The following is a 25,034-nucleotide window of genomic DNA, read 5'->3' as shown; positions in this document are numbered from 1 at the left end:
CATCATGTGAGCATGAGTCACTCTCCAACCTTAGGGTGAAACTGATATAGATGGCAGAAAAGACACATGGAAACACACATACACACACACACACACACACACACACACACACACACACACACATTTCTTGGTGACATTATTGACTCACTGGATCAACCTCTGCTCAAACTAAGAAACTCCTTTTGTTGCTTAAGGAAGCCATCTGGAGTTGGATATTCAACCATTTGCAATTGAGAATGTTCTACTGGACTCCTGGCTTGGTACTCTACACCAAATGCCCTAAGTCATCCTAGAATGATATAACTTAAACCTCTTGTATGCAAAACCTAGAGGGATTTTGCATGTCTTTTGCACAATGTATTCACCTAAATTATGTTTTTTCCCTTGAGCCATATTGTCCTAATCCATGGAAACATATACTCCAGATATAGCTCAGAGAAGGAAAAAAGTAGATCAAGTTTTAGGTGAATTTATGGCTTACCTAGATAATCTTCAATAGAAACATTTTTTGCTGTTTTTTGAGAAATCAAAAACTTAGACAACAAAAGAAGAAAAAACAAAACTAATGATAGCTGGACAATTACATTTTTCTGTTTTCATTTGGATATACAACGGTAGCCACTAAAAGGAAGTTGGTCTACCTTTTTCTGTATCACCTACATAAATTACATAGATTGAAAAAGCAAAATACAAATTTTCCTAGCCTACCTTGCATCTACAGGTGGTTATGTAACATAGTTCTGGCCAATAAGATGTAAACAGAAGTCTTCTGAGGGAATTGCAGGGAAAGCACCTACTTTCCTCTTAAGGTGGGACAGATACTATTAGCATGCCGCTTTCCTATTTTCTTGTCTTGAATAAGGACATGAGGTCCAAAACGATGGTGGCCACTTTGGGATAATGAGGCAACAGACATAAGGACAAATGCCAAAGGAAATGGAATGAAAAGAGAGAGGTAGTCTGGCTCCTTGATGACACTGTTGAGCAGCTGAACCCATACGAGAAACTGCCTGTCTCTGGCCTTTCTCTTAGGTGAGAAATCTAAACCCTTATTTGTTTAAACCAGTGTTTATACAGTATTTTCTTACTTGCAACCGAATGCATTTCTAACTAGTATATGCAACTACCTTAACAACTCTTTGAATATCTAGAGCTATTTCATGTTTTTGCTCTATGTGTTTTTGTATGTTTTGATGGACGTAGCTTGACTCAGGTCAGTGACTTAGTCCTTTTTTTTCTGTAAAAGAGATGCCCAGTCATTCTATTGTGCCTTTATTGTATATTGAGACCATCTGGAAACCATATCTGGGTGTTTCCACTTACCACATCTTTGATTTTTTTTCACCCACACTGATAATCTTTGCTTTTTAATTGGTGTATTTAGACTATTCTGATTTAAGTGATTATTGATATAATAGTCACATTAACAGCTGTCATGTTTGTAATTGTTTTCTTCTCAGTGTATTTCTCTTTGCTTCTTTGCCTTCTTGCACTTTTGCTTTTTTTGGTTTTAATTAAGCATTTTCTATGATTCCATTTTATCTCCCCACTTAGCATATTAATTATACCGAAAAAATTTTATTAGTGGTTTCCCTAGAGTGTACAATATACATTTTCTGGAAAGCTAATCTCAGTCTGTGTTTAAATAACATTATAACACACTTCATATGAAGTACAGGTGTCATTGAACAGAATATTTCTAATTTTTCTCTCCTGTACCTTGTGACATTGCTGTCATTTATCTTACTTAACCATATGCTATAATCACTCCAATACATTGTTACTTTTGTTACTTCTGAAAAGTTATTATTTAGGCCCTGTGTAGTGGCTCACACCTTTAATTCTAGCAGTTTGGGAGGCTGAGGTGGGAGGACGGCTTGAACCCAGAAGTTTGTGACCAACATAGTGAGACCCTTTCTCTACAAAAAAAAAAAACAAAAACAAAACTTTAAATAAAGTCGTCAAATGAATCAAGCGTGGTGGTGCGTGCCTGTAGTCTTGGCTATGTGGGAGGGTGAGGTGAGTGAATCCCTTGAGCCTAGCAGGTCCAGGCTGCAGTGAGCTGTGATTGCACCACTGAACTCCCAGCATTGTGTGTCATGTGTGCCTGTGTGTGTGTGTTTGTGTGTTTTGAGATAGGGTCTTGCTCTGTTGCCCAACGTAGAGTGCATTGATCAGAGCTCACTGCAGCCTTGATCACTTGGGTTCAAGTGATCCTGCCACCTCAGCCTCCTGAGTAGCTGGGACCACAGGCACCTGCCACCGTACTGGGCTAATGTTTTTTAAAAACACTTTTGACATGGGGTCTTACCACATTGCCCCAGCTGGTCTTGAACTCCTGGGCTCAAGCTATCCACCCTCTCTGGCCTCCCAAATTGCTGGGATTACAGGAATGAGCTGCCATTCCCGGCCCTGTTCTTTATGTACCTCCAAATTTCAGATCCATGTTATTTTCCTTCTGCCTCGAAAACTTTTAACATTTCTTACAGGGCAGATCTGCTCCCAGTGAATTCCCTCAGCTTTTGTCTGCCTGAGAAAGATTTTTCTTTCACTTATGAAATAATTTCTTTGGATACAGAATTCTAGGTTGTTGATTTTTTTCTTTCAACACTTCAGACATTTTACTTCTGTCTTCATGCTGCTATAACAGAATACCACAGACTGGGTAATTGACAAAGAACAGAAACTTATTTCTCACAATTCTGGAGGCTGAGAAATCCAAGACAAAGGTGCCAGTATTTGGTCTTATTAGGCTTCTTTTTAGAAATATAATTAACAATTTTAATTGATACATAATAATTGTACATATTTATGAGGCACAGGTGATATTTCAATACACATATGCAACCTGTGGTGATCAAATCAAGGCAATTCAAATATCCATCACCCCAAACATTTATCATTTCTTTGTATTTGGAACATTCAAATTTCTTTCTTCTAGCTGTTTTGAAATATACAATAAATTGTTGTTAACTGTAGTCACCTAATTGCACTATAGAACCCCAGAACTTATTCCTCTCATCTAACTGTAATTTTGTACCCATTAACCAAGCTCTGCCTATCTCCTCTCCTCTGGTCCTTATCAGCCTCTGGAAACCAGTATTCTACTCTCTACTTCTATGTAACCAACGTTTTTAGCTTCCACATATGAATGAGAACACGCAGTATTTGTCTTTCTGTGCTTGATTTATTTCACTTAACATGATATCCTCCACACTCATGTATGTTACTGCAAAATGCAGAAATTATAATTTTTAATAGATGAATACTATTCTATTGTGTATATATACTACATTTTCCTCATCCATTCATGTGTTAATGGACACTTAGTTTGTTTCATAGTTTTGCTATTGTGAATAGTGCTGCAATAAACATGGGAATGCAGATACCTCGTCCGAGAGCTGATTTCCTTTCCTTTGGATCTATACTCAGTAATGGTATTGCTGGATCAAATGGTATTTCTATTTTTAGTTTTTTGAGAAAGTTTTATACTGTTTTGTTTTAATGGCTGTACTAACTTATATTCCCGCTAACAGTATATAAGAGTTCGCCTTTCTCCATATCCTTGCAAGCATTTGTTATTTTTTGTAATTTTCATAATTTAACAGGGGCAAAATAATATTTCACTGTGGTTTTAATTTGCTTTTCCTTGATGATTAGTGATACTGAACATTTTTCATCCACCTTTTGGCCATTTGTATGTATTTTTTCTTTTTTTTGAGATAAGTCTGTTTGGATAATTTGCTCATTTTAAAATTTGATTATTTGTATTTTTTCTTTTTTAGCTGTTATTTGAGTTCCTTATATATTCTGAATATTAATCCCTTGCAGAAGAGATATATTGCAAGTATTTTCTCCTATTCTGTAGGTTGTAGCTTCACCCTGTTGGTTGGTTCCTTTGCCATGCGGAAGTTTTTTAGTTTGATATAATTCCATTTGTCTATTTTTGCTTTTGTTGCCTATGCTTTTAAGTTCTTACCCAAAACATCTTTCCCCAGACCAGTGTCCTAAAGTGTTTACCCAATGTTTTCTTCTAGTAGTTTTATCATTTTCAGGTCTTACATTTAAGTCTTCAATCCATTTTGAGTTGATTTTTGTATATGGTGAAGATAGCGGTCTAATTTCATTCTTGTGTATATGAAACATTCAGTTTTCCCAGCACCACTCACTGAGGAGACTGTCCCTTCCCTAATGTTTGTTTTTGGTACCTTTGTTGGAAATTGGTTGGCTGTTAATACATGGTTTTATTTATGGGTTATTGATTTGGTTCCATTGGTCTATGTGTCTGTTTTTATGCCAGTACCATGGTATTTTGGTTACTATAGCTTTACAGTATATTTTGAAGTCAGGTGGTCTGTTGCCTTCACCTTTGTTCTTTTCTTTTACATGCAAGGGATACACATGCAGGTTTATTACATGGATATATTGTGTGATGCTGATTTCTATTAAACCCATCACCCAAATAGTAACCATAGGACCCAATAAGTAGTTTCTCAACCCTTGCTCCCTACCCTCTTTTGGAGTCCCCACTGTGTATTGTTCCTATCTTTATGTCCATGTGCACCTAATGTTTAGCTCCCACTTGTAAGTGAGAATGTGCAGTATTTGGTTTTCTATTTCTGTGTTAATTCATGTAGAATAATGGCCTCCAGCTGCATCCATGTTGTTGCAAAGCACATAATTTTATTCTTATTTATGGCTGCATAGTATTGCATGGTGTATATGTAACACATTTTCTTTATACATTCCACCACTGATGGGCACCTATGTTGATTTTATGTCTTTGCTATTATGAATAGTGCTGTGATAAACATGTGAGTGCAGGTATCTTTTTGGTACAATGATTTATTTTCCTTTGGGTTCCTATCTAATAATGGGATTGCTGAGTTGAATGGTAACTCTATTTTTAGTTCTTTGAGAAATGTCCAAACTTTTCCACAGGGGCTGAACTAATTTACAATCCCATTGACAGTGTATAAGCATTCCCTTTTCTCTACAACCTTGCCAACATCTGCTATTTTTTTTATTTAATAATAGCCATTCTGATTGGTATGAAATGGTATCTCATTGTGGTTTTGTTTTGCATTTCTCTGATGATTAGTGATGTTGAGCGTTTTTTCATATGTTTGTTGGCCACTTTGAGATGTCTTCTTTTGAGAAGTGTCTATTTATGTCCTTCGCCCACTTTTTAATGGTGATGTTTTTCTCTTGTAAATTTGGTTAAGTTCCTTATAGATGCTGGATATTAGCTCTTTGTCAGATGCACAGTTTGCAAATATTTTCTCCTATTCTGTAGGTTGTATGTTTACTCTGTTGACAGTTTCTTCTGCTATGCAGAAGGTCTTTAGTTTAATTAGGTCCCAATTGTCAATTTTTGTTTTTGTTGCATTTGCTTTTGAGGACTTAGTCATAAATTCTTTGCCTAGATCAATGTTCAGAAGAGTATTTTCTAGATTTTCTTTTAGGATTCTTATAGTTGATAAAAGAAAAACTTCAGCCAAATTAAATTTAAAGGAGTTTGATTGAGCAATAAGCGATTCGCAAATCTGGCAGTCCCCAGAATCCCAGCAGATTTACAGAGACTCCAGGGGTGCCTTGTGGTCAGAACAAATTTATAGACAAAAAACGTAAAGTGACATACAGGAATCAGAAGTGAGGTACAGAAACAGTGAGATTGGTTACAGCCTGGAATTTGCCTTATTTGAATGCAGTGACCATTTAGCAGTCTATGAGTGGTTGAAGAATGGTCGCTGGGATTGGCCAATGCTCAGCTATTGTTACAGGTGCATACTATTAAGTTAGGTTTTCAATTTTTCTGACTGTTAAGCTAGGTTACAGTTCATCCATGAGGACTCAAATGCAGAAGTATGGAGTCTTTCTCAGCCATATTTAGTTTGCTTTAACATAGTTAGCTTTGTTCTTTTTGCTCAGGCTTGCTTTGGGTATTCAGGGTCTTTTGTGGTTCTGTATGAATATTAGGATTGTTCTTTCTATTTCTGTGGAGAATGTTACTGGTGGTTATTTGATGGGGATTACATTGAATCTGTAGATTGCTTTGGATAGTATGGTTATTTTAACAACAATAATCTTTCAATCTATGAACATGAGATATCTTTCCATTTGTTTATGTCCTCTTTGATTTCTTTCATCTGTGTTTTATAGTTTTTATTGTAGAGATATTTCACCTCTTTGGTTAAATTTATTGATAGTATATTTTTGTAGCTATTATAAATGGAATTGCTTTCTTGATTTCTTTTTCAGATTGTTTGCTATTGGGATATAGAAATGCTATTGATTTTTGTATGTTGATTTTGTATCCTGCAACTTTACTCAATTTATTTATTAGTTTAGGAATTTTTTAGTGGACTGTGTTTTTCTAAATATAAGATCATGCCATCAGCAAGCAGGAACAGTTTGGCTTCTTCCTTTCAAATTTGGGTGCTTTTAATTTTTCTTACTAATGCTCTGGCTAGGACTTCCAGTGCTGTGTTGAGCAAAGTGGTAAAAGTGGGCATCCTTATCTTCTTCTTAATCTTAGAGGAAAGGCTTTCAATTTTTCCTCCTTTGATCTGATGAGCTTCTTGCTACATCTTCACGTGGCAAAAGGAAATAGGGCAAGCTAGCTGAACCTGAGGGAAGCCTCTTTTAAAAGGACCTTAACCCTATTAACAAGGGAGCAGCCCTCAGTGGCCTAATTACTCTTAATGCCCTCATATATATATATGTATATACACACACATATCTCACACTGGCAACGTATAAATTTTGGAGTGGACATACTCAAATCATAGCAATTTCATTCTCTTTTTGCTTTTATGGTTCTGATGAGAAGTCCACTGTAATCCTTATCCTTGTTCTTCTTTAGGTAAGGTGCTTTTTCCTTTGGTTTCTTTCAAGATTTTCCTTGTCTTTTTTTTTTTTTTTTTTTTTTTTTGAGATGGAGTCTCACTCTGTCGCCAGGCTGGAGTGCAGTGGTCTGCAACCTCCGCCTCCCAGGTTCAAGTGATTCTCCTGCCTCAGCATTCAGAGTAGCTGGGACTACAGGTGTGCGCTACCACGCCCAGCTAATTTTTGTATTTTTAGTAGAGACAGGGTTTTATCATATTGGCCAGGATGGTCTTGATCTCTTGACCTTGTGATCCACCCACCTCGGCCTCCCAAAGTGCTGGGATTATGGAAGTGAGCCACTGCGCCCGGCCTTCTTTGTCTTTTTATACAGTTGGAATGTGATTGGCCTCAGGTTTTTTTTTTAATTGTTGTTGTTGTTTGTATTTATCTTTATAGTGTTCTCTGAGCTTCCTAGATCTATGGTTTAGTGTCTGTAATTAGTTTTGGTAAGTTCTCAGCCATTACTACTTAAAATATTTCTTCTGCTTCATTTCTTTTCCTTCTGGTATTCCATTACTCATATGTTCTACCTTTTGAAATTTTTCTTAAGTACTTCTATGTTCTTTTCTGCATTTTTCACTTATTTTTCTGTTTGCATTTCAGTTTGGGAAGTTTCTGTTAACTTATCTCCAAGCGCGCTGATTCTTTTCTCAATCACATCAAATCTCCTGATGAGCCCCATCAAAGGCATTCTTTATTTCTGTTACAGTGTTTTTTATTTCTAAAGTTTCCACTTGATTCTCTTAGAGTTTTATCTCTCTTCTTACATTACCCATCTCTTCTTGCATGTTACTTTTTACATTTGAGGCTTTAACACATTTTTCAGAGTTATTTTAATTTCCTGTCTGATAATTCAAACATCTGTATCACATCTAAGTCTAGTTATGAAGATTGGTTTATTTTTCAGATTGTTTCTTCTTTTGGCATGCCTTGTACCTTTTTGTTGAAAGTTGAACACATTGTATTGGCTGAAAATAGGTCTTTAGTGTGAGGATTTTTATTAGTCTGGCTAGAAATATGACTTTGTTTAAGGCTTAGCTATAAGTGCAAGAAGTTTCAAATTCTTCTAGTATCCTTGTTTTTATCTTGATTTTGGCCTTCCCTGCAGATTCCTCTTTAGAAAGACTCTGTCAGCTGTAATATATTGTCATTATAATGGAGCTCTCTTGGTATAAGGTGTTGGGGAAGGGGAGTGTTTTGTAATCTTTCAATTAAATCTCAGTGTTCTATTTAGCCTATGTCTTTGGGCTGTGACCTTCACAACTGTTCTACTGGTAATGTAGCTATTTTCCCCTCTTCCACCTACATTCTTCCCTGGTTTCAGCATTCCCAGTCTATTTCCTTAGGGTCATGTCCACTGTTGGCTATGTTTTCTTCCCCTGCAGCCTCTTTAGGTAAAATAAGAAGACTGGAGACTAACGTAAGAGAAATATCCCTTTCCCAGAAAGAATACGGCTCTGGCAACATTTTTCCCCCCGGGAAAGTAGGTCTTTGTTATGGAAAGTGTTATGTACATATTTAACAAGGATTACTTTTCCTATACCCAGCCAGAGCCAGGAGGGAATCTTTCTTGGATCTTCATTGTGAGACCTTGTGGCATTCCTGGAGGTAAGCCTTATGAAAATCTGGCCCCCTTCTAAGACTGGGGATCCCAGGAGTTTCTCACTATCATGCTAGTGTACACTGAGCCTCCACAAATTCACCAAAATTACTATTTGAGAGTTCTTACTACTTTAGGCTTCAACAGCTTTTGCTCCAGGTAAGTAGATCTTAACTGTGACTTCCTGGATGCCCCTGGATGCCCAGATTTTGGAGTCACAGTTTGCCCTGCCATGTCAGTTTTCTGATGAGCCCAAGAAAAGTGATGGATTTTCAGTTTGTTCAGACATTTCTTGCTATAAGGATGGGAGTGATGACTTCCAAGCTCATTACATGTGAGAGCTGAGATTGGAAGTGTCCTTAACCTCCTCTTTGAGACTTTATTTTTCTATAAAAATGAGTATGTTTATAGTTACTTTGCAATGTTGTTGCCATGACTTTTATGAGACAATAATCTATGAGAAGGTAATGTAAGGCCCTTAGCAGGTCACCAATAAAGTGGGATTCTGTACTGAAATTTTAGAGAGAATTCCATTGTCATAAAGTCAATGGAGTCACATGGAATCAAGTACAGGTGTGCAACAAAAATTAAGGATACAGAAAATAAACAATTTCAATAATAGGGACAATTCTGCCATTATTCCATGTAGTGACCATATCTCCTAGGGTAAACATGATATAGTAAAATTATATGCTGTCAACTAGGAGAAAGAGGTAGTGGTGAGCTGGGAAGTGAGGGTGACAAGGAGGAAGAAGGAATATCTTCAGGAATAATGTATGAGAGGTACCTGAGGAAGGCGGAACCTAAGAACATTTCAGAAAGATGGCAGTGGAGCTGGATTTGGGGGAGGGGTGGGAGATGACATTGGAGTGGGGTTTAGTGATCATTGTGAAGTGCTTGGACTCTGTCTTAAGAGCAGTGGCCTAGTTTCCCCAAAACACAACTTATATTATTCATATTTTTAATAAGTAGAGCATTGGAAATGGTGCTTTATTATGGATTTACTCTGCATTTTTTATTGCTGTTCAAATTTAACATTTTTCTTTATGTATTTATTATATGAAATTATTGTCTTCTCATGTCTTTTGCCCATTTATTTATTGGTTCTTTTTGATAGTACTGATTTTTAAATAAAGTCATTATATGTTATTTTTTTAATCTTCCATATTTGAGGGAAAAAAAATCTTCCCTAATATTTTCTTTTAGTTTTTAAGCATTCAGTTATTTAAAATGTATAGATCTTCCTATGTGTTGGTATGGTAACTCAGTAGCTTATAACAGTAAGCATTTATTTCTCACTCGTGTCTGTGGGTCAGCTTAGGTTCAGCTGACCTAGACTGGGCTTAGTTGGGCTTGATTCCAGCTGTGGATTGTTTACCCCATATGTCTCTTATCCTCCTCAGACCAAAAACTTCTTAAATATGTATTTTTCATGGCAAAAAGCAGAAGTGTGGGAAGACATGGCCAATCATACAAGCAGAATTTAAAGCCCTGCTCCTATTGGCCAAAGCATGTCACATACCCAAGCCCAAAGTCAAAGGAAGGGAAAGAATACTATGCCCATAAGTCCATGACAACAATGTGGATTATCATAATACCACAGTGGCAGAAATAATTAAGACTAACAATTAAGTCTACTACTTGAGCTTGTGATTGTGAAAGATTAAAGGTTTTAATCAGGTCTTATAAAAACCTGAAGTGCAATGTATTAATTCATTCAACCTGAAGGGCTTAGAATAGTATTATTTATAGCTTATGGACAATTGAAGAATGAATATATTATACTACTGATAAGCAATATTAAAAAATTAAATTTCTTAAAGTACTTATGTACTATTACAATACAATTAAATCACTTTTCACATCTTCATTGTTTTGGTTAGTTCATCATCATGTAAGATTTCATAGGTACCTGGGCTTATTTGTATTCTTCTCTTTTGTTCTATAATCTATTGCTTGATTTATAACCTTTATGAGGTTACTGTCACTTGATCTGTCTTATTTATTGCTGTATCCTAATAGCTAGAACAGTGCTTGGCACCTAGTGAATACTTAATAAATATTTCTTGAATAAATGTTGAATACAAATTTATACAGTACCACACTACCACACTATTTTACTTTCTTTCTTTCTTTTTTTTTTTTTTTTTGAGACAGAGTCTCACTCTGTCACCTAGGCTGGAGTGCAGTGGCGTGATCTCGACTCACTGCAAGCTCTGCCTCCTGGGTTCACACCATTCTCCCGCCTCAGCCTCCTGAGTAGCTGCGATTACAGGCATGTGCCACCATGCCCGGCTAATTTTTTGTATTTTTAGTAGAGACAGCGTTTCACCATGTTAGCCAGGTTGGTCTCAATCTCCTGACCTCGTGATCCGCCCACCTCAGCCTCCCAAAGTGCTGGGATTACAGGCGTGAGCCACCACGCCCGGTCCACTATTTTACTTTCTTATAAAAGAAAACTGCTTGTGCTATTGCTTGATAATCTGCCATTGTTCATTGTTATTTTTCAAAATAGTTTTGTTTTTATTAAGTTTATAATTTGGAGAGAATTATTTGTAAAATTCTCATTTCCTATCTAAGAATATTTTACTCTCAACCTATTAAATTTTTTGGTAAAAATTCTTAATATTATATGTTTTTAGTAGATAATCCATGTGTGTTTCTCTTTAATTTCCAAGAAATTTACTTTTTATGTTGCTTTGTAAATGCAAATTTTGACTAGAGACTTATTAAAATATACTTGTATCAGTTAGCTTTTGCTACCTAACAAATCAACCCAAACATTAATAGCTTAAAGCAACAAGCATTTAATCCTTCTTACAATTCTGTAAGTTGGCTGCAGATCTTCTGGTCTTAATATCTCAGCTAAGGATGGATGGTCTAGGATGGATTCACCCACACGTCTGGCAGGCAGTTGGCAGGCTGATTAATCTAGGAAGCCTTAGATGAGTCAGTCCACTTCTGTTTTGTGTGGTCTCTCATTATCCAGCCTTCTGGCTTGGATGACTTCACATGGTGGTCTCAGGGTTGCTAATAGCAAGAGGGCAAACCCTATTGTATAAACATTTTTTAAGCCTCAGCTTGCATCATGTTTGCTATTGTCCTATGGACTGAAGCAAGGGACATGGCCCAACCCAGATTCAAAGGATGGAGAAATAAACTCCACATCTTGTTAGGAACAGTGGCAAAGTTACAGTCCATATGAACTTGGATACAGGGATCGTGGAGATTTTTAGCTATTTTGCTATGTTCCTCAGATGAAATATTTTGAAAGAAGAATCAAATTCCTTAAATGAACTGTTGTCAATCGATGTCTACTTTATCGTCATGTAAATCACTGATATGAAACACTGAGTGCTAAATGCCTAAGAAAGATAATTCGCTACTTGTTTGAATTATTTATTTGTTCCTTCACTCATTCATTTATTAATTTCTGCTGTGGGTTAGGGACTGTTCTTGGTGCTGTGAATAAAAGGGGAAGAGAATAAGGTCTTTGCCTTTAAGAAGCTCATGGAAGATGTGGAGAGAATCAGGAAGAAATTTTACATGTTTAACAATTGATTGGCATTGGATTTCACCAATCATAATATATAGCAGCTTGGGCAGGAGGAGGGTCCTAAGGCTTCTGGATCATGAGGAGGTTGAGGGTATTCCAGGATAGAAATTGGGATGACAGAAGAGTAAAAACAGAGGATGTAGGACAGTGGCTGGTTACCCCTCATGGAAATAATCAGGTCAGTTGCAACTGTGCATCTAACACTATATCAGAGAGCAGATGATGAAATATGTGACAGCAGATAACTAAATACAATGATAATAAAATATATGAGAGCAGATAATGAAATGCAATGCATTAATTACTACATGCCAGGTAGGAGCCTGGAGAATGGTGAAATTACTCTTGTAAAGAAAAGTGGAAGCATATCTATATATTTGATTACATGGAAGTGGGGATTTTTAAGATGAATAGGAGTTTGACAGGCAATGAAGGAAAGACGGAATATTTTAAGAAGAAGAAACAGCATGTGAAAAGGCAGGGCTTAGTCTGGTTTCCTAACAGAAGTCACAAAGAGGGAAGCCCACAGGTGAGATCTGGCTCATGGGGTATTTTGTTTGGTTGATGTGGGCTTTAAATGTGAACTTTAATGCTTTTGGAAAGAGCTTGAATTAATCTCTTTGCCACAATTCCCACTACAGCCTAATGTAGCACTCAGCTGGCTTCTCTTTTATCCTTACTACTTAGGTTTTTGTGTTTGCAATCTCTGAATTCTATACTACTTCACATTATTGAGCACATACACTATGCCTGGTAATGTGCTTGATATTTTACATTTCTTAACACATTAAGTCATTATAAGGTAAAATTTAAGATCTGATTTTACAGATGAAGGAACTGCGTCTCAGAGATATTGAGTAACTCCTCTGAGGCAACTCATCTAAAAAGAGGTGGAGCTGGGGTTTTAATCTAGGTCTACTTGACCTCTGATCTTGCATTTTACCACCACATCAGAGCAAGTGGGTAATATGTCTCATCGTCATCACGTTTAAAAGACACCGGACACTTTCCATATAGTCAGTAGTTTCTTTGTCAAGACATTCCAGTGGAAAGGTCAATATTTGGTTCCTTAGAGAAGGTTATAACTTTATCATAGTTACTGAGCAAGCTCTCGTGACTCCTATAAGACCATAGACCTCAAGATTAGATGTTTGTGGGTGAAAAGAAAAGAGCTGTCTTCTTGCTTGGGCTCACCTAAAATCAGACCCAGGGACAAGGATTTGGGTGCCAGGAGTTTACGTGGGAGGAGATTCCAGAAGCATGATGAGAGAGTGGAAAAGGGGGCCAGGGAAGGAAAGACTGCCGTAAAGGGTTCATTGATGAGCCTGTTGCCCCTGTGGGCAGCTGGAGCACTATCTTGCTAAGGACATTCTGAGATGCTGTGCAGAACATACTTTCAGATTATCACCCCTGGTGGCAAAGAGGCCAAGGTGCTTATCTGCCAGTTCCAATGGCTCATGGGAGAGAGTTGCTCCTGAGACATCCACTCCTGCCTATGTGAACCAGGGACTCCTGAGTCAAGAGAGAATCTTTAACCAGAGGGATGCAGGTGCTTGGGATAGGGAGCTGTCAGAGTGTTTGTTCACTAACCTACAGGTAACCTCCAAGGTGGGCTAAGAGGATATGAGCATCTGCTCTAAGAAGACACCAGCATGCAGAGAATAAAGTAAGCCCAAGGATGTCATGACTCTTTTTATTAAATCTTGCTGTGAACTCAGCTGGCCTTCCATAAACACTTGATCTTTTAACCAGATCATTGGGTTCATTTGCCAGAACATGAGCATCTCACAGGTAGGGACAGAAGTGGCTTTTATCTTCCTTCCCTATTATCTCCTGACACATTTGTTACTCATTAAGTATTTGTGTAGGGAGGCAGTTTAGGAGAGTAGGGAGAGCTTAGTCCTTGGGATAGGACAGACTGAACAGTTTCTCACGGCCTGGCGATTTATGCCTTTGTATTCCAATGTTACTTTTCCCTCTTAGTCTACTTCCTCATCTTTAACATTGAAGAGCTATGCCAGACTCAAAAATGATGGTAAGAAGCAAACAAATTAACAAATGTTCAGTGGCTGCTCTAGACTTTCTATATTGGGAGAACTTAGAGGAGACAGCAGTCTGAAGGGAAGGGAAAGCAGAAGCTGGGCAGTATTTTGCCCTTAATTTTTGCCCAGAAGATTAAGAAAATATTAATTTTGCAAGCGCTGGTGGACATGATGGGGAAGCTAAAGAAGACCTCAGAACATGGCTTTTGTGCCGCAACTGTGTTGCTTAGGTACCTAGAATAGGGCTTGGTAGGTTACAGGCATTTAATCAAAGCTAAGTGTTATTGTCTGGCTGGGGTGTATGAAATTACTCCAGTTTGGAAATGTGGTGTTAATAGCATATTGACAGTGTTTGTATCTTGTGATATGTAATTGCTTTTGCAATAGAGTGTCATGATTCCTGAAGCAGGAAGCTTACAGTCCAAGGCAGAATTTATTCTTGAAATCATTACTAGATTTTTCTCTTATGAGTGTCCAGGTCCTCATGAATGACTGTTGACCCCTAGAATCAGGATTCAGAATGAGGTGGGGAGGCCAACCTACAGTCTGGATGAGTGATGACTTCAGAGAAGGGCAGGCTGTTTATTCTGAATACAGAATGGCCAACGCTGTGTCCATAGACTACAAACTCTCCAGTATGGGAGGGGCTTGGTGAGTGGGTGGTATTGGGGGAAATCAACAGATTCATCCTACAGAATGACATGGGGTCTAGCTCTCTCATTATCCTCACGGAAGCTGGGTGTCCTAAAAACCGTATCTGGAGACTCTCCAGAGTGGACAGCTCTCTGAATGGAGCAGACTCTCCGGGGTAAACAGCTGTGGAGGATAAGGCCAGGTGTTTCTGTAAAATCCAGATATTGACCCTGTGTGACGGGCACTCCATGTCTGAGATCCAGGTTCACTCTGCATGGGTCAGGAGGACTCTCAAGAGGCCTCTCACACTTTTGTCTTGGAATACAAAGCCACAAACCTCTAAGCAGTCTTGACCATTATCTTCAGGGTCCAGTACCCAGCAGTGGGGACTTCAAATAAAGGCATTAAACAAGAATGAATTATTAATCCAAGAGTGATGTTCTGAGTTATTCCAGTATGTTGGTATTTTTTCTCCAAATTGTTTATTTTCTAATTCTGGAAGATTATACACACACACACACACACACACACACACACACACGCACATAATTCTACTTATCCAAAGAAAATCTAGTATAGTTTTTTAAAGATATTTTCCTATGCATTTATACGAATACATGTTTTAAATATTTAGGCTTACAAATTTATACTCTCAATGTCAATAGATACATTTTTACAGGTATTTACCTTGAGTTAATTAAACTTGTCAAATAAAAATTATAAAAATACTAAAATTAAACAAAAATTCTATTTGTAAGTGGTTACATTATTTCCAACATTTAGATTTCGGAAACAATGTTGTTATCCCTGTTGCTCAATCTTTGTAGTATCCTCAATTCATTCTTAAACTCCTTCACAGTTTCCTTGTTTTTAATTTTATTTTTTTAGTTGACAAAAATAATTGTACATATTCATGGGGTACATAGTGATGTTTGGATACATATAAAGTATAGTAATCAAATTAGGGTAACTAGCATATTCATCATCTTAAATACATATCATTTCTTTGTGTTGGGGACATTCAGAATCCTCCTTCTAGCTGTTTGAAATGATGTATTATTATTAACTATAGTCATCCTACAGTGGTATAGAACACTAGAACCTATTTCTCCTATCTAGCTGTAATTTTGTATCTAGCTGTAATTTTGTATCCTTCAATAAGTCTCTCCCCATTCCTCCCTTTCCCCTACCTTTACAAGCCTCTGGTATCTTTTGTTTTACTTTTTACTTCTATAAGATCAACTTTTTTTTTTTTTTTAGCTTCCATATATGAGTGAGAACACGTGGTGTTTAACTTTCTGTTCCTGGCTTATTTCACTTAACATAATGTCCTTGAGTTCCCTCTATGTTGCCCCAAATGACAGGATTTCATTCTTTTTGATGGTTGAGTAATATTCCATTGTGTATATATACCACATTTTCTTCATTCATCTGTTGTTGGATACCTAGGTAGATCACCTATTTTGGCTATTGCGAGTAGTGCTGAAATAAACATGGGAGTGCATATGTCTCTTCCGTATAATGATTTACCTTCTTTTGGATATATACCTAGTAGTGGGATTCCTTTTATGTTAGTTCTATTTGAGGTTTTTTGGGGAACCTTCACACTGTTGTTCATAGTGGCTGTACCAGTTTACATTCCCACGAACAGTCTGTAAGAGTTCCCTTTTCTTTATATCCTTGCCAGCATTTGTTATTTTCTGTTTTTTTGATAACAGTCATCTTAACTGGGGTGAGATATTACCTCACTGTGGTTTTTATTTGCGTTTCCCTGATGATAAGTGATGCTGAGCATTTTTTTCATGTATTTGTTGACCCTTTGTATGTATGTCTTTTGAGAAATGTCTGCTCAGATCATTTGCCCATTTTTACATTGTTTTTGTTGTTGTTGTTGTTGAAATGTCTGAGTTCCTTGTATATTCTGGATATTAATTCTCTGTCAGGTAAGTAGTTTGCAAATATATTCTCCCATTCTATAGGTTGTCCTCTCACTCTGTTGATTGTTTTCTTTGTTGTGTGGAAGCTTTTTAGTTTGATTCAGTCCTATGTTTTCTTTTGTTGCCTGTGCTTTTGAGGACTTATACATAAAATCTTTCCCCAGACCAATGTCCTGAAGCATTTCTGCTATGTTTTCTTCTAGCAGTTTTGTTGTTTCAGGTTTACATTTAGGTCTTTCATTAATTCTGAATTGATTTTTTTATACAATGAGAGGTGGGGGTCTAATTTTATTCTTCTGCATATGGATATCCAGTTTTCCCAGCACCATTTATTGAAGAGACAGTCCTTTCCCTAAATAGTGTTCTTGGCATCTTCATCAAAAATCAGTTGGCTGTAGATATATGGATTAATATCTGGGTTCTCCTTTCTATTTCATTGGTCTATGTGTCTGTTTTTATGCCAGCACCATGATGTTTTGGTTACTACAGCTTTGTAGTATATTTTGATGTCTGGCAGTGTGATACTTCTAGCTTTGTTCTTTTTGCTCAGGATTGTTTTCACTATTTGGGATCTTCTATGGTTCCATACAGATTTTAGAATTTTTTTTCTGTTTCTTTGAAAAATGTCTAGTGTTTTGATAGAGATTGCATTGACTCTGTAGATTCCTTTGAGTAGTATGTTCATTTTAACAATATTAATTCTTCCAATCCATGAGCATGGGATGTCTATTTGTATCCCCTTCAATTTCTTTCCTTTTTTTTTTCTTTTTGAGACAGAGTCTCACTCTGTCACCCAGGCTGGAGTGCAGTGGCATGATCTCAGCTCACTTCAATCTCTGCCTCCTGGGTTCAAGCGATTCTCCTGCCTCAGCCTCCCCAGTAGCTGGGATTACAGGTGTGTGCCACCATGCATGGCTAACTTTTTCTATTTTTAGCAGAGATGGGGTTTCACCATGTTGGCCAGCCTGGTCTCAAATTCCTGACCTCAAGTGATTCACCTGCCTCAGCCTCCCAAAGTGCTGGGATTACAGGCATGAGCCATCGTGCCCAGCCCAATTTCTCTCATCATTGTTTTGTAGTTTTCCTTATAGAGGTCCTTTACCTCCTTGGTTAAACTTATTTCTTGGTATTCTATTGTTTTTGGTAGCGATTGTACGTGGGATAAACTTATTAATTTCTTTTCAGCTAGTTTGTTGTTCATATACAGAAACACTACTGATTTTTGTATATTAATTTTGTATCCTGCAATTTTATTGAATTTGTTTATCAGTTCTAAGAGTTTTCTGGTAGAGCCTAGATTTTTCTATAAAACCCTGATATCAAAATCAGACAAGGACACAACAAAAAAGCTACAGGACAATATCTCTGAACATAGATGCAAAAATCCTTAACATAATACTAGCTAACTGAATCCAACAACAGATCAAAAAAAAATACACCATGATCAAGTGAAATGTATCCCAGGAATGCAAAGATGGTTCAGCATATGCAATTCAATAAACATTGTACATCACATAAATAGACTGAAGGACAAAATCATATGATCACCTTGATAGATGCAGAAAAAGCTTTTGATAAAATTCAACAATCCTTCATGATATACACTCTTAATAAATTAGGTATGGAAACCTCAACATAATAAAGGCCACATATGACAAATCCAGCTAACATCTTACTGAATGGAACTGGAAGAAGGCAAAGATGCCCACTCTCACCACTCTTATTCAACACAGTTCTGGAAGTCTTAACCACAGTAATGAGGCCAGAGAAAGAAATAAAGGGCATCCAAATGGGAAAGGAGGAAGTCAAATTTTCCTGTTTGCAGATGACCTGATCTTATGTACAGTTAAACTCTCCTATATATTTCCTATCTCCTTATTTCTTTAGACTGCATTCTCAATAATTTTCTTTTATATGGTTCACTAATTTTCTCTTAAGGTGAGTCTAAGTTCCTGTTTAACCCATCTATTGATTTTTACTATTAATTATTATATTTTGACATTTCTAAAAGTTCTGTTTTCCAAACCAGTCTCATCTTTTCCTATATTTTCAGTTCATTCTTTATATCTTTAATCATTAACACATGATGTTTTCTCATGTCTATCAGAGGATATCTATTGTTATGGTTTCTGGGATCTACTTCTACTACTGTTTCTCATAGTGCATTTGTTCCCCATGCATTTTATAATTTTGGATCTAAGCTCATCTTCTGTAGAATCTCAGTGGGGAACCCAGTGGAAGAATATGACCTTTCAGAGATATTTTCTAATGGCTTCTGCCAGGTACACAATGGATATTACCAGCACAGAACATGTTTAAGTTAATCTCTTCCCATGAAAATTCTAGTGTAAATCTAAGTGCCAAACTCGTGAGGTCAGGCCTGTGGTTATGATTTCTCAGAGTACTTCAATTTTTTTTTCATCTAGAGCCTAGACAGAAAAGCTTCTTTGTCATTGCTCTATGCCTTTGGGTGGATTTTTGTAGTCTAACTTCCCACCTCTCACTGGCCTAAGTCTTTATCTTTGTTGCCTAAGTCTTCATCTTTTTTCCCTATGTGGGAAGGAAACTGGAACAAAGAGGGAAAAACCTCTGTTACTAAGACCAGAAAATACCCATAAGACCTCCAGAATTTCAGCTTAGCTATTACAGCTTATGATTTCAGGTTCCTCTTCATATTTTATCCCTGGGGATTTTCCTTTCTTGTGGGCTCAGTCCTACATTTAAAGAATCTTACATTTTATCCAGTATTTCCACTTTGCAATGAGAGGATTTCTGGTGAGATCATCATGTTTCCAGAAACTAAAGTTCTTAAGTATTTCTCTAGTGTAAATTCTCAGAGGTAGAATTGCAAGTTTAGGAGTGTATTAGTCTGTTCTCACACTTCTAATAAAGACATACCTGAGACTGGGTAATTTATAAAGGAAAGAGTATAATTGACTCACAGTTCCACATGACTGGGGAGGCCTTATAATCATGGCAGAAAGCGAATGAAGAGCAAAGTCACATATTACACGGCGGCAGGCAAGACAGCTTATGCAGGGGAATTTGCATTTATAAAACCATTAGATCTCGTGAGACTTATTCACTACTATGAGAACCATATGGGGGTACTGCCCCCATGATTCAATTATCTCCACCTGACCCTGCCCATGACATGTGGGGATTATTACAGTTTAAGGTGATATTTGGGTAGGGACACAGCCAAACCATATCAAAGAGACCTGTACATTTTTAATGCATCTTGTAGATGAAAATTTGAGACGTAATGAAAGAAGTTCATCTTCTATGGAATATCTCTTTTTTTTTTTTTTCGTGACAAGGTTTCACTCTGTCACCCAGGCTGGAGTACAGTGGCTGCATTACGGCTCACTGCAGCTTCGACTTCCCAGGCTCAAGTGATTCTACCGCCTCAGTCTTCTGAGGAACTGAAACTAGAGGCGCATGCCACTATGCCTGGCTAATTTTTTAAATTTTTTGTAGATATGGGGTTTTACCACGTTGCCCAGGCTGGTCTTGAACTCCTGGGCTCAAGCGATCTATCCACCTCAGCCTCCCAAAGTGCTGGAATTACAGGCATGCGCCACCACACCCTGCCTGGAATATCTTAAGAGTATAATTCAAGATCATTATAATGAGCCTAAGACAATTTTCAAATTATTTTTTAAGCTTTGGTTAACTAAATGTATGTTCAAGTTGCCTCTCTCTCATTTTGAACTTTTCTTCTTTAATGTATAACATCTATTTAATCATGAACTTCAGAAGTATAAATTTAAAAGACCTGAACATGCCCATGGGATGTGATGAACAATAATTTTCTAAAATCAGACCTGTAAATTCGTACTTCTACAAGGTGAGAACCTACCATATGTAAATTTCATTTTCACATCATTCACATATATACACATTGAAGGCTGGACGTGGAAATGAAGAACGGCACTGGGGATGGGGCAGGAATGAATTGTTGTGCACACTGTTATTTTTAGTGGCTCTCTCTTCTAGTCCTTAAACTGTCACAGAAGAATAGCTTTGAACAAGCTACAAAATTCTGAAAGGTCACAACCCAGGAAGGCAGAGACTCCAGGAACATGCATCAGGGAAGGTGCAGATGGATAAACAAGCCATAAAGTGCACCATATTTTTTCTTTTCCAGCATTTCACCAAAGAGTTGACTCCAGGCTATTACCCTGTGAAAGTGAAATTTTAAAAGAGGCAATTCCAAACAAACCTACACCAATCCCCAGTTGGCTCACTTTCACCATCACTAATGAAACCCAGGAGGGTCTTGAAGTGAGGTGTGACAATGTGAGAGGCAGAGCAAAGATCACAGAGGTGAGAAACCTATCACCTCTGTTTTCATATCCTGAGGAGCATATGGGCCAGACTTAGCATGCCCATGGTTCTTGTGGCCAGGACAGCAGATGGACAACCACTGCTGTAACGCCCCCTCCTCCAGCCTAGCCCATCCATTTCAAAGGTGCCTTTGCTGAGAGCATTCACATCTTACAGCCACCTTGTACACTGTGAACAGAAGTAAGCATATCTTTCCTGAGGAACTAGGTGAGTGCATCCATACTTGATAAGAATGAGACATGACGCAAGAAGTAACTGGTCTAACCTGCTGACCAACTGGCTGTGTGGTCATGACTCTGGGTTCTGTAGCTGGAGAATGGATGAAGCTTATAAGATTTCATCTGTCTGATGTGAGTAAATGAAGTTGGTGTTGGAGCAGCTTTGGGATAGGAGGGTTACATCTCTAGGAACTAAGATATTAGGGCATTCTCTGCAGCAATTCTGCTTTTTATAGATCTCTGGATGCTCCCCTGAGATCTTGGAAATAGGGCTTGCCAGCACTCTCAATGTGTCTAAAGAGTCAGAGTTAAGTCAATCATCATACAGGGTAAAGGGAGCCCTCTTCCATGATCACTTTTTCTTTTCCCCAGGCTGAAACCTGGAGCCATAACCACACATGCAATGGCAAAGTCCTAGGGGTTGGTGGAGCCACAGGCTGGAAATAGCCTGGGTCCCTGAAACACCATGTGGAGGAGATTGCTTGGCAACCAGGGACACCCAGTGGGACTTGAGCAAAAAATTACCCATCACCTTTTGATTTAATCTACCTTAATTATCATTCCAAAATTTCTTTTCATTATACTATTATATTAATTTCACTCTTTCCTGGATACTATGTCTTTCTTTTACTTGGAAGTGTTTATTGAAGTATTCATCAAGTAATTTTTTAAAGGAAGGGTACTGAAGTAAACTTTCTGAATCTTTCATTTAAAAAAATCCCCGTTTTACTCTCCCTTTATTAGACAGACTTTTCTGGACATAGGATTTTAGATTCAAAAGTATTTTCCCTATGAATTCTGAAGGCAGTGCTTTGTTGTCTTCTAGTATCTGGTATTGCTGATGAGGTATTTACAATAGAAATAGTAGCAGGGGATTCAAACAAATGTGCAAAAGACAAATACAAGCAGCCAGTATATATATATGAAAAGAAATCACTATAAATGGACATCATTTATGAAAGAGAACCCCTTTTTATCCTATAAGATTGACAAATGTTATAAAAATAATAATAGTATTGGTGCAGATTGGAGAAATGGATAACTTATACACTGTTAACAGATGTGAAAATTGGTATGAACTTTCCATGTTTATAATATTCAGTAGTAAAAGCAATTACTTTTACCTTTTTAGGTGAAAATTTTTTTTCTAGCTGAAAACAATTTTAAGTTCTTCCCTTTATCCTTGGGATAGTAAAAATTTTATGAAGGTGTATTTAGATAAAAATCTTTTTATATTCATCCGCTTAGCACTTGCTAGTCCATTTTCATCTTCCATTTTGTTTCAGCCTCAGGGATTATAATGCTTTCTCAAGTTTTTATTAGATGGATATTGTTCCTCCTGTATGTATCCTCTTTGTCGTTTTACATTTTTTCTCATGTTTTCTATTTTTTTCTGGCCTTTGCTTTATATTCTGAGATTCAAAGATTTTTTCTTCTTTGCTTTCTATTGATTTTCACCACTTTAATATTACATATTTTTAATTTTTATAAACTCTGGGTTCCTTTACATATCAGCCTATTCTTGTTTTGTGGATGTAATTTCTTTATACAATCAGGTTGACCTACAAAGATCATAATTAGAACTTTTAAAAAGTTAACTTTTCCAGGAATTGTCTGTTTCAGTCAGTAAGATATTTCTCATTTTTTTCTCCTTGGCTACCCACTTTGGTATTGCTGGTTTTCATCAAATAACTGGTAATCTCTGGCTTTCTATTTCTATTCACAATCGAGAGCCATGTTGACTGATGTCAATACCAGTCATACTTCCTCTCTAATTCGCTATTAGAAACAATAGATGCTCAAATAATCAGTGTAACTTTTGAAAATGTTAGTTTTCATCTTACTAGAAATGGACCCACTTTAATAAAATATTTTCATTTTTCTATATTATGTACCTGTTACATTGACTGTATATAGCAGTTATAGCCTCATCTATATAGGAAATCTTTAACTTTGATTGGTCCCACTTAGAATTGTCTCATTAATACATCGCTTAAAAATCTATATTTTGAAGTTTTATTTGATAATTTTTTTAGAGTTAAAAACTCTTCATGGATATTTTGTTGAAAATATTTTAGAGGGAACTGAATTTCATTTTAAAATATTAACACATTTTTATATATGAAAGAAACCTATTTTGTTACAGGTGCTTATAATTTGTGGCTATGATTAATTGAAGCTTTACATGTATAACGTTTTTTTAAAAGACTGGTGTAAATTATATAAAATTGAGATGGACACTATAAAAATAGTTGTATGACAACCACAATTATTTACAAAACAGACACATTAAGGGGAAATCATGTATTGTTGGCAGAGATTATTTTGCCCTTAAAAGGGCAAAAAAACTGATAGACTGATTGGCTGCATCAGCCTGTTGAAAAGTTTTTATTCAAATGATGCCAGGAGCATTTTCCATGACCCCACATTGCTACCCATTCACTTTTCACACACAGAGCCTTATTCATGCTGGGGTCATAGTTAAGTTGTAGGGTAGATTGATTTCATCACAGCGAAGCCATTACACATCCTTTGGTCTTCCTTATGCCTTTAGTCCACGCATGCTTCAGATCTGGGAAAAAACCCCACACATTTGGGCTGGAGAAACAAAGCAGCAGCCATTTCCTTGCCTTAGTTCTTGGCCCATAATGAAGTAAGAGCACGATGTGATGATTGGAGCCAGACCTATCCCTGGCCATGGGCACTGCAGCCGACCCAAACCTAATTAAGAAAGATCTTGAATAAACTTGGGTGAGGGCCAAAACCACTAGCCCCTTCAATCAATACTTTTGATATAAAAATTAGCAGCTGGGCTGAATAAAAGGGAGCGCTGTTATATGCCACAGCAAAACAAAGTCTCCTTTTGCTCCTATTCTGAACTTCTGTTGTTGGATATTTTATTGGTTTGTATCTGTGATAACTTCTCAGAGCAGTTGACTTGCAAATGTCAGAATTCAGCCTCCCATTTGGACCACAGGATGCAATGAAAATTAGAATAACCAGTCCCTACATTAAACCCAGATTGGCATGGGAATCAACCTTTTCCAAATGAAACTGGTTTCACTTGTTCCCTTATTCTTGATTGAATTACTCCTGCTAATATATAACGTTTAGCTAAAATAACTTTTTAAGAAAATTGATTTGATAAGGAAGAGGATAAACATTCTAAGAAAAAACAATCTACCATCAAAGTCTTGGAAGTCCTCTTTATGCACTGTTAATCCCCTCATAACTTGAATATACTTGCCTTCCAAGATGAAGCCATTATTAATCTCTACAAGAGTACTTGGAAGATAATGTTGCAGTTCTTAATATCGTGTCTGGCATGTGGTAAGTGTCTAAAAATGATTGCTTTATTGTCCTTCAAGACACCACGTATTGACTTTAGAAATAATTTCTAGTTTTAATCCAGGGAATTTACATGCAGGCTATACAATAGGGAAAGAAAAGGTTAACATTTGACTCCTTTTGATGCCTTTGTTATCCTGAAGACTTATCTTTTAATGAGGTTGAAAAGAAGAATAAATTAAGACACCCCTTCCTTTTAGAGATACTCAGTAAAATGTTTACTGATAATATGATTTCTGGGATGTGCTTCAAAGCAATCTGGTGAGAGAGGGAGTGAAATGGGTTGGGGAATAGAAGAAAAGACTGGCCATAAATTGGTAATGTTTGAAGCTGGGTAATAGGTGCATGTGGGCTCATTATACTATTCGATTTTACGTATGTTTAACATTTTCTGATATAAAACTTTAAAAAAAATGGATCAATTAGAAATCATTTAAAAAATAATAAATCACAGCTGAGTCC

General features: G+C 37.0%; 1 protein-coding gene across 1 annotated transcript in view, besides 1 other annotated feature; it reads left to right on the top strand.

Annotated features, from left to right (window-relative positions):
* TASP1 (taspase 1) overlaps positions 1-25,034 on the top strand; it is a 534,161-nt gene that overhangs the window by 444,266 nt on the left and 64,861 nt on the right. The gene's annotated exons all lie outside the window — the stretch shown is intronic.
* Positions 19,946-19,995: an enhancer, noted in NCBI's record as "active region_17550". NCBI's record gives its function as "activates an Ori minimal core promoter by ATAC-STARR-seq in GM12878 lymphoblastoid cells {active_cell/tissue: GM12878}" and the evidence as "EXISTENCE:reporter gene assay evidence [ECO:0000049][PMID:35858748]".

Source organism: Homo sapiens, chromosome 20 (genome assembly GCF_000001405.40).
Source record: "Homo sapiens chromosome 20, GRCh38.p14 Primary Assembly".
Classification (NCBI taxonomy): domain Eukaryota; kingdom Metazoa; phylum Chordata; class Mammalia; order Primates; family Hominidae; genus Homo; species Homo sapiens.
Note: the sequence above shows the minus strand (reverse complement) of the source record. Positions and strands in the feature narration are given on the sequence as shown.